This window comes from Homo sapiens, chromosome 17 (genome assembly GCF_000001405.40).
Source record: "Homo sapiens chromosome 17, GRCh38.p14 Primary Assembly".
Taxonomy (NCBI): Eukaryota; Metazoa; Chordata; class Mammalia; order Primates; family Hominidae; genus Homo; species Homo sapiens.
This window is the reverse complement of record NC_000017.11, coordinates 16002168-16019386: the sequence shown is the minus strand read 5'-3', so window position 1 is coordinate 16019386 and position 17219 is coordinate 16002168. Positions and strand designations below refer to the sequence as shown.

The 17219-nt window shown below is 40.0% G+C and overlaps 1 protein-coding gene across 5 annotated transcripts in view; it reads right to left on the bottom strand.

The window, feature by feature from the left end:
- TTC19 (tetratricopeptide repeat domain 19) overlaps positions 1 to 17219 on the bottom strand; it is a 45192-nt gene that overhangs the window by 25629 nt on the left and 2344 nt on the right. For 4 of the 5 annotated variants that reach the window (XM_017024802.3, XM_017024801.3, NM_001271420.2 and 1 more), the window contains exons 4-7: positions 16556 to 16594; positions 15500 to 15556; positions 15125 to 15186; positions 12819 to 12913 (exon numbers count right to left, since the gene is read on the bottom strand). In XM_017024802.3, coding sequence (XP_016880291.2) covers positions 12819 to 12913; positions 15125 to 15186; positions 15500 to 15556; positions 16556 to 16594 — 253 coding nt within the window. Of the gene's footprint in view, positions 1 to 10322; positions 10410 to 12818; positions 12914 to 15124; positions 15187 to 15499; positions 15557 to 16555; positions 16595 to 17219 lie in introns of those variants that run through there. The other variant, XM_024450814.2, reaches the window with a different exon arrangement.

Sequence of the window (17219 nt, the reverse complement as noted above, 5' to 3'; positions counted from 1 at the left end):
CATATTAAGTTTAAAAACATATTAGCCCTATTGTATATTGTTTTTTTGTTTTGGAGACGGAGTCTTCACTCTGTCACCCAGGCTGGAGTGCAGTGGCACGATCTCGGCTCACTGCAATCTCTGCCTCTCAGGTTGAAGCGATTCTCCTGCCTCAGCCTCCCGAGTAGTGGGGATTACAGGCGCCCGCCACCATGTTGGGCTAATTTTTGTATTTTTAGTAGAGACAAGGTTTCGCCATGTTGGCCAGGCTGGTCTTGAACTCCTAACCTCAGGTGATCCACCTGTCCCGGCTTCTCAAAGTGCTGGGATTACAGGTGTGAGCCACTGTACCCAGCAATATATTGTTTATTGATATATACAAGTGCAATAAGTAGGCAAACAAAACCAAACTCAGGATAGTAGCTACCCCTAGGCAGGGAGGGAAGGGTATACAGGGATTTAAATATCCAAAAAAAATTCTAAAGCAAATATGGTAAAATATTGAAATCTGGCCAAGGCTGAAAGTACACAGATATTTGGTAAGTCCTCAAAACTTTACTTTTGTTTGAAATCTAATTTTAAAAAATTACATCAGAGGGAAGCCAGGCGTGATGCCTCATGCCTGTAATGCCAGCATTTTGGGAGGTCAAGGCAGGTAGATTGCTTTAGCTCAGAAGTTCAAGACCAGCCTGGGCAAGATGGTGAAACTCCGCCTCTATGAAAAAATCCGGAAATTAGCCAGGCATGGTGACATGAGCATGCAGTCTCAGCTACTTGGGAGGCTGAGGTAGGAGGATCAGTTGAGCCTGGGAGGTTGAGGCTGCAGTGAGCCATGACTGCACCACTGCACTCCAGCCTGGGCGACACAGTGAGACCCTATCTCAAAAAACAAAAAACAAATCAAAAGAAAAGCACAGAACTGACTTTTCTTAATAATAAATTGGTAATGTGGAATATCAACTGAAGAAACTCCCAAAATATACATGAGAAAACTGATGGAAGAGGGGATAATGTGAAGGATAGAGAAGAGAGGTCAACATACAGGTAAATGACATTCCAGGGTAAGAGGCCAGAGCATGTGGGACAGAAGCATTGAGCCAGAATAGACTACAGAAGCTCCAGAGAACTGGATGCTAAAAATGAAGGTTCACCAGGGACTAAGCAAGCTTCATAAACAGACAACTCCCTAACCTTATGCTCATTTAACTTCTGAGTCCAGCAAAGCATCTGAGCAGGAGAAAATAGACTATTTAAAAAACAAGGCAAATATGCAGGCTTTAGAATTCTCCTCTGCAATAAATTCCACTAAGTCTAAAATTCCAGATCACAGAGAAAAAACAAGTGAGGAAAAGGGAAAGAAGGATAATGTTAAAATGTACTCATCTCATTTTAGAGAAGAAACTGAAAAAAATTTTTTTTCCTCTGAGTCAACTGTCTTTAAGAAATGTTTAGGTTACTCCTTATACAACTGAAAATCATATATACATATACCTTCCCTACAAAATACAAATACAGATCAGAGAGGGAAAAGTTCCTGTAAGAGGAACTGAAAACAAAGGAATTAACAAAAATGGAAAGCACTTTTTAAAATGCAATAATTAGACCAATTATCCCTTTCAATACTAATTTGTTTTGTTTTGTTGTTTGAGATGGAGTTTCGCTCTTCTTAACCAGGCTGGAGTGCAATGGCGTGATCTCGGCTCACTGCAACCTCCGCCTCCCAGGTTCATGCGATTCTCCTGCTTCAGCCTCCCGAGTAGCTGAGGTTACAGGCACCCGCCACCACACCTAGCTCATTTTTTGTATTTTTAGTAGAGACGGGGTTTCACTATGTTGGCCAGGCTGGTCTTGAACTCCTGACCTCAGGCGATCCACCTGCCTCAGCCTCCCAAAGTGCTGGGATTACAGGCGTGAGCCACTGCACCCAGCCTGAATACTTTTTTTTTTTTTTTTTTTTTTGAGCCGGAGTCTCACTCTGTCGCCCAGGCTGGAGTGCAGTGGCGCGATCTCGGCTCACTGCAAGCTCTGGCTTCTGGGTTCGTGCCATTCTCCTGCCTCAGCCTCCCGAGTAGCTGGGACTATAGGCACCCGTCACCATGCCTGGCTAATTTTTTTCGCCTCACTAATTTTTAAAAGGTTTTCAGATTCTGTATCAGAAGACAATGATACTCAGGTTTTAAAAAAATTCCAACCATAGCCTTCTATAAAAGATACACTGAAAATGACTCAGAAAAGTTAAGGGTAAGATATAGTAGATAATATAAAACTAGAATTCGTAACAAATACCTTAAATAGGGAAAAAGGAATCATTTTCCTGATGAAGGGACAATTCGTAACAAATAAATATATCTATGAGACTGTCTAAACAGAGCACAGAAACATGTATAAAGAAAGAAGATTTTAAAAAATTTATCGGCCGGGCATGGTGGCTCATGCCTGTAATCCCAGCACTTTGGGAGGCTCAGGCAGGTGGATCACCTGAGGTCAGGAGTTCAAGAACAGCTTGGCCAACATGGTGAAACCTCGTCTCTACTAAAAATACCAAAAACTGGCTGGGCACAGTAGCTCATGCCTGTAATCCCAGCACTCTGGGAGGCTGAGGCAGGCGGATCACCTGAGGTCAGGAGTTCGAGACCAGCCTGGACAACATGGTGAAACCCGATCTCAACTAAAAATACAAAAATTAGCCAGATGCAGTGGTGCACACCTGTACTCCCAGCTACTCGGGAGGCTGAAGTGCAAGAATCACTTGAACCCGGGAGGTGGAGGTTGCAGTGAGCCGAGATCACGCCACTGCACTCCAGCCTGGGCGACAAAGCAAGACTCCATCCCAAAAAAAAAAAAAAAAAAAAAAATTAGAACAACTAGACAAAATTAGTAAGGACCCAGAAGACTTGAATAACACTATAAACCAACTAGACCTAACAGACATTCATAGAAAACTCCATTCAACAGAATACACATACTTCTCAAATGCACATACAACATTCTCCAGGATAAGCCATATGTGAGGCCATACAACAAATCTCAATAAATAAAATCAAGCACAGTTGTTCTCTGAACACAATGGAATGAAACTGGATTCAACAGAAGAAAATTTGAGAAATTCACTGTATGTGGAAATTAATCAATATACTCCTAAATATCCAAAGGGTCAAAGAAGAAATCCCCCCCAAAATTGGAAAATACTTGAGATACATGAAAATATAACTTACCAAAATTAATGAGATGCAGCTAAAGCTTATAGTTATAAATGGCAATTATGTTAGAAGAAAAACCTTAAATCAATAACCTCATCTCCCACCTAAGGGACCAGAAAAAAGGGAACAAAATAAACCCAAAGCAAACAGGAGAGAGGTAATAAAGACAAAGTAGAAATAAGTGAAATGGAAAATAGAAAGACAATAAAGAAAATTAATGAAACCAGAAGTTGGCTCTTTGAATGAATAAACAAAATTAACAAAAACCAAGGAGAAACTATAAATAAAATGGCCAGGAAGGTCCTTCATAAATTGATAATAGTAAAATATAGGTGCCAAATCATATAATAAATAAGATTAGTAAATATATCACATTCCACAAACTCTTATATAATAGTGCCTAATGAGTACTGGTCATAGTCCTGGAGTATTTAATTCTTGTAACTCTATGAGGTAAGTTCTATTATTATTTTCATTTTATTGATAAGGAAGCTGAGAACAGAGAAGTTAAATAACTTGTCCACTGCTAGTAAGTGGCAGAACCAGAATCTGAACTCAGGCTCCAGACTTTAAGCACTCATGGAACCAAATATTATGTCATCAAAAATAACTTTCTAGAAATGTTTTATTTAATATATGAAAATAAAAACTTTCAAGGAAAGGAGGAGGAAGGAATCAATGGGAAACATCTTTTTACTAATTTAAAAGGAAATCCATAAAATTAGGATCTAGAAAAGGAAGAGGATCTCAGATACGTAAGAGTAGTGTAAAATATGCTTTAAAAATATAATTCCTTAAAGTTTCTTCTAGGAAATTAATAGTTATAAAATTTGTTCACCCATACGTTCATTTATTCAATAGATATTTATTAATGTTTATGTTTTTAGCACTGTCCTATATTGAAATTAAGAAAATGGAAGAAATACATGAGTAATCAAGAAGGAAAAAAAAAGCTGCCGGAGAATTAACTCAGGAGTTCTGGTCCATCTGGCATCACAGACTCTGCAACTTTCAAGGAACAGACCATTCCAATGCAATATCCCACACTTATTTCAGAATAGAAAATACAGAAAGCATCCCAATTCATTTTATCACATTAATAACAATCCTGCGATAACAAATAATACAAACATAATAGTACAAACAATACAATAAGAAATTTACTGTGGATCTCATAAGAAACGCAAGTTACATATCAGCATTAAATATTATCCAGCACTACACAGGTACTAAGCAATTAACCTACAAGCAAGCCTGGTCCGCTCTAGATATATAATAGTAATAAATCTATTCATATATCTTGGTACCAAATTGGATATAAGACTAAGTTTCCTATTACTACTATTGCTTGATGTTCTGAAGGTACAGCCAATGAACTAATTTTATAAAGGGTGGGGAAGGGAGACAGTAGTATAACTCTCTGGAAGGAAACAATTACAGGTTAAGTATTCCTTATCTGAAATGTTTAGGACCAAAAGTGTTTCAGATTTCAGATTTTTTGAGTTTGGAATATTTCCTTTGGATACTGCCAGCATCCCAAAACCAAAAACCCAAATCCAAATGCTCCAATGCGTACTTTCTTTATGCATCATGTTGGCACTCAGAAAGCTTCGGTTCTGGGGGATGCTCAACCTGTATCATGATTTCCGGAATGTATGATTATAAATCTGGAATTAGTGTGAATATCAACTGAAAAGCAAAGAGTTCAGTCAAGGAGTCAGTTAGAATCAAATTTAATAAATAGCTGTCATCTATATGAAGAAAACTATAAGCAGGAGCTATAGAATGTTCCTCAGTGAGACGGCTCACTATTACAAAGATCTTCCTTTGCTAGCAGAGCAGCTGCTTTGTCCCAGTATCCGTTCTTTTCTCACATGACTCACATCCTCAGGAAAGGAGACTGATGTATTTTAGCCAATCATGATAATCCATTTTTCTTGCCAAGGACTGGGTTAGAAATGGCATGTAACCCAATTCTAACCAATGAGAAGTAAGGACAAATCTACTTGGAGACTTCTAGGAAAGATTACCTTGATCCTATGAGAAACATCAAAGAAGTCTCCTTTTCCTCTGGACACTGTCATTTCTGGATGAGATTCCTGGGAATTGTTATAGTTTCACGTTTCAACCACCAGGGGAGCATGGGGAAAAAGCCAATACATGAGTGAGGAAGGATGGAAAGAGCCTGTTCCTTTATGATTTCAGTGAATCACACTGTCAACTAACTCAACAGCCTGCTCCCTATTGCTGAACTGCCAGTTACTTGACATAAATGTCCTTACTGTTAAACCTAATTTAGCTGAAATTTCTGCTCTTTGCAGTCAAAGATATGCTAACTTATTCAGATGGCAATCTCCCCAAACTAATTTATAAATATAATGCATATCTGATAATTCAGTCTGAAGGCACTTTACGAACTTGACAAAATAATTCTAAAATTCATGTGAAAACAGTGAAATGTGGGAAGGAATTTTACAAAGGAAGCATGTGTCAACTGTCCTACCATATAACTCAAATATATAATTCAAAGAATGTATACTGTTATAAAACTCATCAGGTAAATACATCAGAATGGAAAACCCCAAAAGAAACCCAAGTATGTACTAATTAGTACATATAGATTGATTACTATCTGCAAGAAAACAGTCACCAGCTTCACACCAAAATACCAGATATACTAAAAAGTTAAAACTGTTTAGAAATAAAAGGAAAAAAATAGAAAATTATAAGGAAAGATGAGTGAGAATGCATACAATTTCAAAGCTTGAAAAATATCTCTCTAAGCATTAAGCTCCAGAAGAGCAAGGACTTTTGCCTTACTTGCTGCTATTCAAATCCTAGAATACCTGGCACAGAACAGCTACTCAGTATTTATTAAAGATGAATAAAAGCAAAGGAAATTAGAAATGAATTCTGATCTAATTCTGAAAAGATTACTCATGCAAGTCATAAAAATGCCCTAAAATGAATACATATTATGATTCATTTGTATAATTTTAATTTTTTTTGAGACAGGGTCTCTATTGCCTGTGCTGAAGGACAGTGGCACTATGATAGCTCACTGCAGCCTCGACCTCTTGGGCTCAAGTTATCCTCCTGCCTCAGTCTCCTAAGTAGCTGGGACCACAGGCATGTGCCACCGTGCCCAGGTAATTTTTTTATTTTTTGAAGAGACAGGATCTCACCATGTTGCCCAGTCTGGTCTCAAAACTCCTAGGCTCAAGCGATCCTCCCACCTTGGCCTCCCAAAGTGTTGGGGTTACAGGCTTGAGTCACTCCACCCAGCCTATTTAAATTTTTAAAAGCAATATGCAAAAACTAAATGACATCTTCTTAAGGGACACAGAGTAAAATGAAAGAAAAGCAAATAGGCCTAGCGTGGTGGCTCATGCCTGTAATCCCAGCACTTTGGGAGGTTGAGGCGGGCAGATCACCTGAGGTCGGCAGTTCGAGACCAGCCTGACCAACATGGAGAAACCCCGTCTCTACTAAAAATACAAAATTAGCCAGGCGTGGTGGCATATGCCTGTAATCCCAGCTACTCGGGAGGCTGAGACAGGAGAATCACTTGAACCCAGGAGGCGGAGGTTGCAGTGAGCCGAGATCATGCCATTGAATGATAGTGACAAGATTAAGGAGAATAGTATCCCAGGTAGGAAGAGCTCCAAAGGTACTGGCAATGCTGGATCACTTGTCTATTCTCACAATCCTCTTCCACCCCCCAGCCCCAAGACAGGGTCTTGCTCTGTCACCCAGGCTGGACCACAGGTGGTGCGATCTCAGCTCACTGCAACCTCCACCTCCCAGGCTCAAGAGATTCTCACCTCAGCCTCCCGAGTAGCTGGGACTACAAGTGCGCAACACCATGCCCAGATAATTTTTGTAAACATGGGGTTTTGCCACGTTTCCAGGGCTGGTCTTTAACGACTGACCTCAAGTGATCCACCCGCCTTGGCCTCCCAAAGTGCTGGGATTACAGGCGTGAGCCACTGTCCCTCGCCAATTCTCATAAATTCTTTATACAAATGTTAATTTCACATTCCCTTTTTATTAGAAAAAAAAACCCCACTCTATAAACACAAATCAGGAGGAAAACCCAAGAGACAAAGGATTAATATTTTTACAATAAAGCTCCAATAAAAAATAAACCTCTTAGCACCCTAAGACATGGTGAGAAAAAAAAAAAGATAAACCTCACTGTTTATCAAAGAAATGCTAGATAATGCATCAAGGCCATATCATCAAGCTAACAAAGATTATAAAAGTTAATGAGTTTTGGGGAGGAGGACATAGGCTTATCACAATAATAAAAACCACTAACAAACCCTTTTTGAGCAGCTACAATGTATTATTCTAAGTACGTTTTATGTATTAACTCATTCCACCTTCCTAAAGGTCCTATGAGTGTTACTCTTAATCCCACACTGAAGAAAAAGCACACAGGGATTATGTAATTTGGCCAAAGTCACAAAGTACATAAATAGCCAAACCAGGAAATGTAAATTAACACAGTCCTTTCAATGGCAATTTGGCAATAGTCATCAACAACCTTAAAATGTGCTACTCTTGACTTGGAAATCTCAGTGCTAAGAATCCACTTTAAAAAAACAGGTTTGGACACTATCTTGATGCCCAATAACAGATTTACTATTCTGAACTGAACACAGGCATTCCTCTCCACTCCTTCCCCAAATACCACTAAAATGAAACTTACAGGATGAAAAAGATATAACGCGGCCGGGCGCGGTGGCTCACGCCTGTAATCCCAACACTTGGGGAGGCTGGGGCGGGTGGATCACCTAAGTCAGGAGACCAGGCCGGCCAACATGGTGAAATCCCGTCTCTACTAAAAATACAAAATTAGCCGGGTGTGGTAGCTCACGCCTGTAATCCCAGCTACTCAGGAAGCAGAGGCATGAGAATTGCTTGAACCCAGGAGGTGGAGCTTGCTGTGAGCCAAAATTGAGCCACTGCACTCCAGCCTGGGTGACAGAGTGAGACTCCGTCTCAACAAAAACAAAAACAAAAAAAAGAAGATGAAGACTGAATGCCTATGGCCAGCCATGCCAATGAAAAGTGAGCCAACATGAACTCTAGAATACTGGGAAAGCTTATGAATTGAAGAAAGCAAGTAATATGTAAAAGTGAAGAATCTGGCATATACATAACAAACGGAGCCACAAAAAAACCTAGTTAACTTCAGAGGAAGCAAAACGTACACAAAAGGAAATGTAACTGTGTAATCATGTTACTTGGCTCAGCAGCTAACACTATTCATACACTCATAATGTAGACACAACCAGAAACTGCACTAAATCTTCACTTTTCCATAAATCAACATATTCTGAAAATAATGAACTAGGAAATAGCAATTTTATATTATTGAGAAATGTGAAGGTAAATACCAGAGGAAACTGGTTAAGAGTTGAAAATAGGGGCCGGGCACAGTGGCTCATGCCTGTAATCCCAGCACTTTGGGAGGCAAAGGCAGGCGGATCATGAGGTCAGGAGATCGAGACCATCCTGGCTAACATGGTAAAACCCAGTCTCTACTAAAAATACAAAAATAGCCAGGTGTGGTGGCGGGTGCCTGTAGTCCCAGCTACTCGGGAGGCTGAGGCAGGAGAATCGCTTGAACCGGGGAGGCAGAGGTTGCAGTGAGCCGAGATCACGCCACTGCACTCCAGCCTGGGCGACAGAGCGGGACTCTGTCTCAAAAACAAAAGTTGAAAATAGGGCCAAGTGCGGTGGCTCACACCTGTAATCCCAGCACTTTGGGAGGCTGAGGCAGGCAGATTATGAGGTCAAGAGATTGAGACCATCCTGGCTAACATGGTGAAACCCTGTCTCTACTAAAAACACAAAAATTAGCTGGGCATGGTGGCACGTGCCTGTAGTCCCGGCTACTCGGGAGGCTGAGGCAGGAGAACCGCTTAAACCCGGGAGGCGGAGGTTGCAGTGAGCCGAGATTGCACCACTGCACTCCAGCCTGGTGACAAGAGTGAGACTCTGTCTCAAAAAAAAAAAAAAAAAAAAAAAATTAAAAATTAAAAAATAAAAAAAATAGATGGGGTGGGTGAGATAGCCAAGAAAATGCTCTCTTAAATTAAGCTTTGTACTATTAATATTATTTGACTTTTTATACTAACAGATAACATTGGAAATTAAAAAGAAAAATATAAATTTGTACAAAATTATAGAATACTCAGAGAAACACAAATAAAATATAAATTCCCTATAAACCTACCAACCAAAGAGAATCACTGCCTGTATTTTGATATCTATCATTCAGCCTTTGTTCCATTCCTATTTTTAGTCTACATACTAACTATACTGTTTTGTAACCAAAGTTTTCACTTAATTTTTTATGGGCATTTCCTCAGTAAGTACATATATGTCTACAACATAGGTAACAAAATAATTATCCTAGAGCAAGGTTTTATGTAATTAAGTAATGTAATTTTATGTAATTAAGTAATGTTATCCTAGAATAGAGATAGTTGTGTCAATAAAAAGCACGTAAATTTGATAATGGATTTGCTTTGTGCAAAACTGAATAGGTAGGAATTCCTTTTCTAGAAAAAATAAGATGAAGAATCATGTAACACATTTTCTATACTGTGCAACTAGTAAAATGTAAAAATAATATTTATAATAGAAATTAGCTTGCTCTATCTAACAAGAATTCCTTTGCCTGGAAAAAAAAAGTGTTTTCATAATATGTTACTAAATTGTTAAAACTCAGGTTACAAAGTAGGATATACAGTATCATCCCAAATTTATTTCTTAAAATGTAACCCGAAAAGCCGTAGTAATAAATAAAACAGTAGCTCTTTCTTAATAGTATGATTACAGATGATTTTTACTTAGTGCTTTTCTAAACTTTCTTCAGTGTTTACTGGTATTATTTTTTGAATCAGAAAATATAGCTTTACACTCCTAAGAAACCATAGTCAACACTATAAATGAAAGACAGCAAAGGTGTAAATAGTTCAGAAGTGACTTACTTGACAGCTAGACTTGTTTTTACACCTCTTGTGGATTTCCTCAAAGCACTTCCACACTGCACTGAAACTGGATTTATTTGCTGGTCTTTCTTGGGTCTTTTGTTCTTTCATTCAGTAATTATTGAGCCTCTATTATGTGCCAGGCACTGTTCTAGGCACCGAGGATTTAGCACTGAGTATAATGGATGAAGTCTCTATCCTTCTTTGATATGGAAGACAAAGACTAAAAATTTTTAAACAAAAACATACTTTTAGTGGAGAAACACAAGCACACAACACACACACCTCTACTTTTAAGTGTGATGAAGAAAAGTAAAGGAAAGAGGAGTAGAGCAATAGTAAGGTGGGAAGAGATGATAGTTTTAGTGAAGGGAGCACTCTGAGGAAGTGCTATTTGAGCAGAGACCTGAGTGAAGTACGGGAGTTGGCCAGAGAAAGGTAAGAGAGAACAGTCTAGGTAGGGGGAATATCAAGCAAAGAGGCCTTGAGGTGGCACTAAGCTTGGAATGTGCCAGAATAAGACCAGTGTGGTGAGACTGGAACGAGCAAGGGGAGAGCAGCAGATGGCATGGAAGAGGTGGGTGGGCCCAGGTCATAAGCGCCTTACAGGTCCATGCAGGGATTCTAAATTTATTCTAAAGGTGATACAAAGGTACTGAGGTCTTGAAACAGTGATGGCCTGGACCAAAGCAGTAGGGTAATGGGATGAGACATGGTCAGTATGGATATATTTTGATGGCTGATCCAGTATAACTTGCTGATGGATTAGATATGAGGAATGAGGAAGAAATCATGGACAATTCTTAGGTTCTTGGCCAAAGCAACTAAATGAGTAGTGTGCCATTTACAAATCTGGGGCTGACTGGTGACGAAACAAGTTGTGAGCGGCAAAACTGAGACCTATTTTGGACATGTTAAGTATGAGATGACCATTAGACTTCAAGTCAAGATGTCGGGTGGGCAATCATAATTATAAGTCTGCCATTTGGGGGCAAGTTGGGGCTGAAGGTATAAATCTAATATTTAAAACTATGGAACTAAAAGATATCTCCTAGGTGTTGGGGCAGAGAGAAAAGAGAATAGGGCTGAAAACAGCCCTAAGGCGTGCCAACATTAAGAGGTAGGGAAGTCTATTCACCTCACTAGAGAGACCAGTGAGGCATCCCAGAAGCCAAGTGAAAGTATTTTCAGTAGGAGACAGTGATCCCCTAAGTTAAAGCTGCTGATGAGTAAGTTAAGGATTGAGAAGTAACCATTGGATTTGGTGACTTTGATAAAGGTAGCTTCAGTGGAGTGATGAAAACAAAAAAATTGGTGTACAGTGATCCCTCCTACTCCACAGTTTCATTTTCTGGGGTTTCAGTTATCTGCAGTCAACCAGAGTCCGAAAAATATTAAATGAAAAATTCAAGAAATAATCCGTAAGTTTTTAAATTGCATGCCATTCTGGGTGGCATGAAGAAATCTTACACTGTCACACTCCATCCTGCCCAGGACATGAATCATCTTTGTCCAGTGTACCCAAGTTGTATACGGCAGCTGGCCTCAGTCACTTAGCAGCAGTCTCAGTTATCAGATCAACCCACAATGTTGCAGTACTTGTGCTCAAGCAATCCATATTTTACATAATGGCCCCAAAGTGTGAGAGTGGTGATACTGGCAATTTGAATATGACAAAGAGAAGTCATAAAGTGCTTCCTTTTAATGAAAAGGTGAAAGTTCTCAACTTAGTAAGAAAACAAAAAACAAAAAACAAAAAACTGTATGCTGAGGTTGATAAGATCTACAATAAGAATGAATCTCCTGTCTGTGACACTGTTAACAGTATATAGTTATAATTGTTCTATTAAAAGTTATTGTTGTTAATCTCTTACTGTGCCTAACTTATAAATTAAACTTTATCATAGGTACATATATATAAGAAAAAAACACAGTGTATTAGAAGTCGTTTCAGGCATCTGCTGGGGGTCTTGGAACATATTCCCCATGGATAACGGGGGACTACTCTATGTTCAAGAGAGAGTTAGAAGACCACTAGGTACAGAAGAGTTGACTGCTGTATCCCTACCATCTCGGTAGCTCTTGGTATAGAGTAGGTATTGAATAAATGTCAAATCTGAAAATTCTCAATACTTCAACCCAAATTAAGAAACCCAAAATGGTGGAGAGCTAGAGAGCTTCCTGCTCATCCAGTTCTATTCCTAGCCTCCAGAATGAGTGAGGATGGATTGTAAAAACATGAGCTTTTTTTCTCTTCTTTCTTAATTTGCTGTATATCTAGGGCTAAAACGTAATAAGCATTTTGATTGGTAGCTGAACTAAGAGATACGAGAAACACCTTCTCCTTCTGCTCCCCAATTTTCCTTAAGTTATATGTAACTAAAAGTTAACAAATAAATTATGACCATGTTACCAAGGGGGTTAAAAAAAAAACCACCACCAAAACAGCAGTCAAATATTTTAAATAAAACATCTTATTCCAAAACTTCTGCTGATACCTTAAAGACAGACACTTATTTTGCAAAATAGGTAACTTTCCCTCTTCCCAATTTAGATCTCTTTCCATTTCTCAAAAGTGTAAAGTAAAGCCTTTTGTGGAGAAAAGGCAATGCCCAGATAATGGGTTTCCTACCTGACATAATGTCTTCTGCTAATTCCTTTTCTCTTTCAATTTTTTCCTCTAGAGTTGAAATGCAGAATTCATAGCCAGCAACAGCAAATTCCTGTCTGTAAAGCAAAATCAATAATCAGCCATTTACCTTTTCTTCTTTTTTTTTTCTTCCTTCTGTTGAGATGGAGTTTCGCTCTTGTTGCCCAGGCTGGAGTGCAATGGCGTGACCTCGGCTCAGAGCAACCTCCACCTCCGGGGTTCAAGCGATTCTCCTGCCTTAGCCTCTCGAATAGCTGGGATTACAGGTGCCCGCCACTATGCCCAGCTAATTTTTGTATTTTTGGTAAAGACAGAGTTTCACCATGTTGGCCAGGCTGGTCTGGAACTCCTGACCTTAAGTGATCCACCCACCTCGGCCTCCCAAAGTGGTGGGATTACAGGCGTGAGCCACTGCGCCCGGCCCATTTACCTTTTCACAAATTCTTTTTATCTTCATTTTTCCAGCTCAGTTTAAACATTATCAGTAAAGGAAGTGTAAAATGGGAAGAGGGAACTTTGCTTAAAGTCTAAGTAGTGTCAAATCTGCCATTTCTCAAAGCAGTTTTTTTAAGTCATCCATTTAATATAACTTAGGACACAAAAAGCTAGGAATGCTGCCCTAATTTTAATAACTGACATAGCCAGCAGTATTCATCATCTCCCACTAACAGATGGCCTCCAGTGAATCAACTTCTCCATGTGTGAAAGCCTTACCCCTGTTCAAAGTAATACTACCCTAAACAGTTCAGGCCGCCCTACAGTGAGGATTCCAACTGTTGACCTCATACAGCTTCTGAGGAGCTTTAGTCATTTTATATTTCTTTCAAGCTATAAGTCTCTGATAAAAGTTTCTTTTGCAGAAATGGGACTCCTAGCTATGGCAATAGAAGTCATTTAACCCAACTCTGTAGCCCTGGACCCTCAATCAACTGGAGAGGGTTGAGTCAACCCAAGCAGGCCGACTGACTGCTGCTTTTTACAGAGATGCAGAGGAAATGTGACAGAAATCCCTTCTCCATTTAGGAGCTCAGCTTTGGTTCTTTTCTTCAGTTTTGGCTCTAGTTTCTTACAGAAGTGGCACTAAAAAGCTCACCTGTTCTCTAGTGCTTTGCCAGGGGAGAACTTATGACCCTACTGTTCTGCTCTGTTCTCAGAAGAACAGAAGCATCCCCTTCCTTCCCTACGCTCAAAACTTGGCAAGAGGGCCCTCTCTAGCCATAACACAGGGCAAGTGGACACTGCCCAGAAGACGCTCCCAGTCGGAGCAAGAGGTCTACAAACAATTCCCCTCATAACCTATATCAGCCTTTCGAAGCCTCAGATCTGGCCATGTCTTTTCTAGTCTCATGCTTCTCTTAATAAAACAAAATGAAAAGTACAGAGTACCATGTAACTCAGAGGCTAATTGTTACTAGCTTTCACCTCTAGAAGACTATGAATTTGTCTTACTCAACAATGTTTATTAGGCTCTGGGCTTCTTCTTACCCTAGGGATTCATACCCAATCAAGAACTAGGCATGTTTGTTACAACTCCAAGAAAGATTGACCAAGCTGCAGTGTTCCCTGGCATGGGCCAAGCTCAAAGCTCCTCAAAAGACTTGAAGTCAAAGGCTCCAGGAAGCTCTAGCCTATCTAGTGTCCAATCAAAATGCAAGGAGACTATGCAGGTCCTGATGAGAACAAAGGAGCTGGTGAGTAGGACAGTAGGGAACAGTGCCAGGGCCTGGCCTCAGTGAGCACCCTTTCTACAGCATCAGGCTCCATGTCACTCCAAACCTCTCGCACCAACTTCTGCACCACTAAAACCTGAAGGGAAGCTAGTCTTAGGTCTCTCCCTAAATTCATCCCAAATACAACTCTCTAGAGGAGTTCTCTGCTTACAACCTAGATGCTTCATCTTTGAACTCTATTTATACCAGCAAAATGGCTTCTTCAGAGTATTAATATATTATCCCCAGCAGCTTTCACACTGCTCTTTCCTCTTCTAGGAAAAGTTAAACTAAAGTTCTAACTCTAACTTCCCTTCCCACTTCAAGCAGCAACAGAAAACTTAGTTAGTTTTGTCACAGGGCAGCCAGAGATGTTGTGTGCCCCACTAGGCAGGCTGATGGAAACAGTAGGGGCAAACTGGAAAAAGACTGACAATTTCAAAGATGAGGGATGGAACACTTTGAGTGTGACACCCAATTTCTGGGAGACCCAGATGACCAGTAGACAATGAATATTATGTAACATCCCAGAGTCAAAGTTTCCTGCCCACAGTCCTACTCCCTGGCTGCTGTACTTACCTGTTCTGCGCAGCATAGATACTGGCCAGCTTTAGGGAAATTTCAATTATTGCATTGTCCTCCTGTGAGAGAAAGAGAATGAAGGGAACTCATAACAAGTAAATTTTTTCATGGCATATTTCAGATCAACTTCCAGACTGACGGTGGCCTCAAAGCCACAGTCTTTATTCTTTTAGAGTGATGAGCCAACTGTGAATTCCTTGGCAAGCATGCTGTTGCATTTAGTGAAAGAATGGCAATTTGTATAGAGATCTCAGAAGGGAAACTCCACCTTTCCTGACCAAAGCATGTGGTGGGGCTAGGAGGAGTTTTCAGGAGACAAGACTGTTTTGAAAACTGCTTCAGTGAGGGGCCAATACTAGGCAATGTCCTTACCTGCTTCATGCCCCCTCCAAGGAGGTAACTCATTGTTGCTTTAAAAAGTTGTTCAGCCTAAAAGCATAAGGAAAAGATTTTTCTTTTAATTGGGCCCCATTTTATATATATATATATGACCCTGGATTCTAAGTGCCAGTCTGATGCAACATTCCTTGTAAAACCCATATACCCACACACACGCACACTCACACACAGAAAAGTACCCTTTTGAAGCGAAAACAGATCAAAATATCAGGACCCTCAACATCCTCTGTGTACCTTAAACTACTCTCTGATGAGTAGAAAACAACCTCAGAGATTAAGTTCTTATCCAAACCCACTGTGGCAGAGACTACAAACTGTCTCCTAATAGTCATTCTCTTCTCCATCTTTTTGATTACAGAGTCCCCTCGATTTAGCCTGGGAAATATGGTGAAATCCCGTCTCTACAATAAATAAATAAATAAATAAATAAATAAATAAGAAAATTAGCCAAGTGTTGTGGCACACGCCTGGAATCCCAGCTACTCAGGAGGCTGAGGTGAGAGGATCAACTGAGCCTGGCAGGTCGAGGTTGCAGTCAGCCATGATTAAGCCACCGCACTCCAACCTGGGCAACAGAGCAAGACCTTATCTTAAAAAAAAAATTCAGTCAATTTTAGCAGATTGGACACCCTTAAGTTAGATATGGTCATATGATAAAATTTAGGCCAAGGGATGCAGGCAGAAAGAACGTGAACTTCTAATCATGTTTTATAAGGAAGCTGCTCACAGTCCATCTTCTCCCCCTTCCTGCAGACTGGAGGTGAGTCAGCTCACCTAGGCAGAGGAGGGCTTATCTTAGAAGAAACCTGGACTTCTGGATCAGAGAGCAAAGGTGCCTATGTCTGTCTGCCTTCAGTCTTTAGCCTATCTCTGGACTAACACAATAAAGAGAAATACACTTTTATCTTGTTTGAGTCACTATATTCTAGGGTCTCTTTGTTATAGCAGCTTAGCCTGTACTCTTACTATTACAGTTCCCTTGAAGCTACTCCTTCATAAATTCAAGATATTACAAAGCAATTTACTTACATTTTCAAGCTGACCCCGTATAAATGCTAAGTTGGCCATCTGAAAGCAAATTACAAATTGTTTTTCAGTTTAGAATACTGTGTTCCTACTTATTTCAAAACTTTAAAATTCCCTTTTGCTTTCACCCTCAAAATTTAAAAAATAGTTGAAAATGAAAAGCACATCACCAATTAATCTGCAAGAAGAAGCACAGGACAGCAATCATGTGAGAATTAAATACTTGCACATACTTTGTTGTTAACAAACCAAATCTAGGTCCACTCATCATTAAAAAAACATGCTAATGATACTGGTTTTTTTTGGTCTGGAATTGAGAGGTCTTATGTCACCCCAAGGGTAAAAAAACTGAAGCTGTGGCCGGGCGTGGTGGCTCATGCCTGAAATCTCAGCACTTTGGGAGGCCAAGGCAGGTGGATCACCTGAGATCAGGAGTTCGAGACCAGCCTGGCCAATATGGTGAAACCTCGTCTCTACTACAATACAAAATTTAGCCAGGCATAGTGATGCATGCCTGTAATCCAGCTACTCGGGAGGGTGAGGCAAAAGAATCGTCTGAACTCATGAGGCGGAGGCTGCAGTGAGCCAAGATTGTGCCACTGCACTGCAGCCTGGGCAACAGAGTGAGGCTCCATCTCAAAAAAACAAAACAAAACAAAAAATGAAA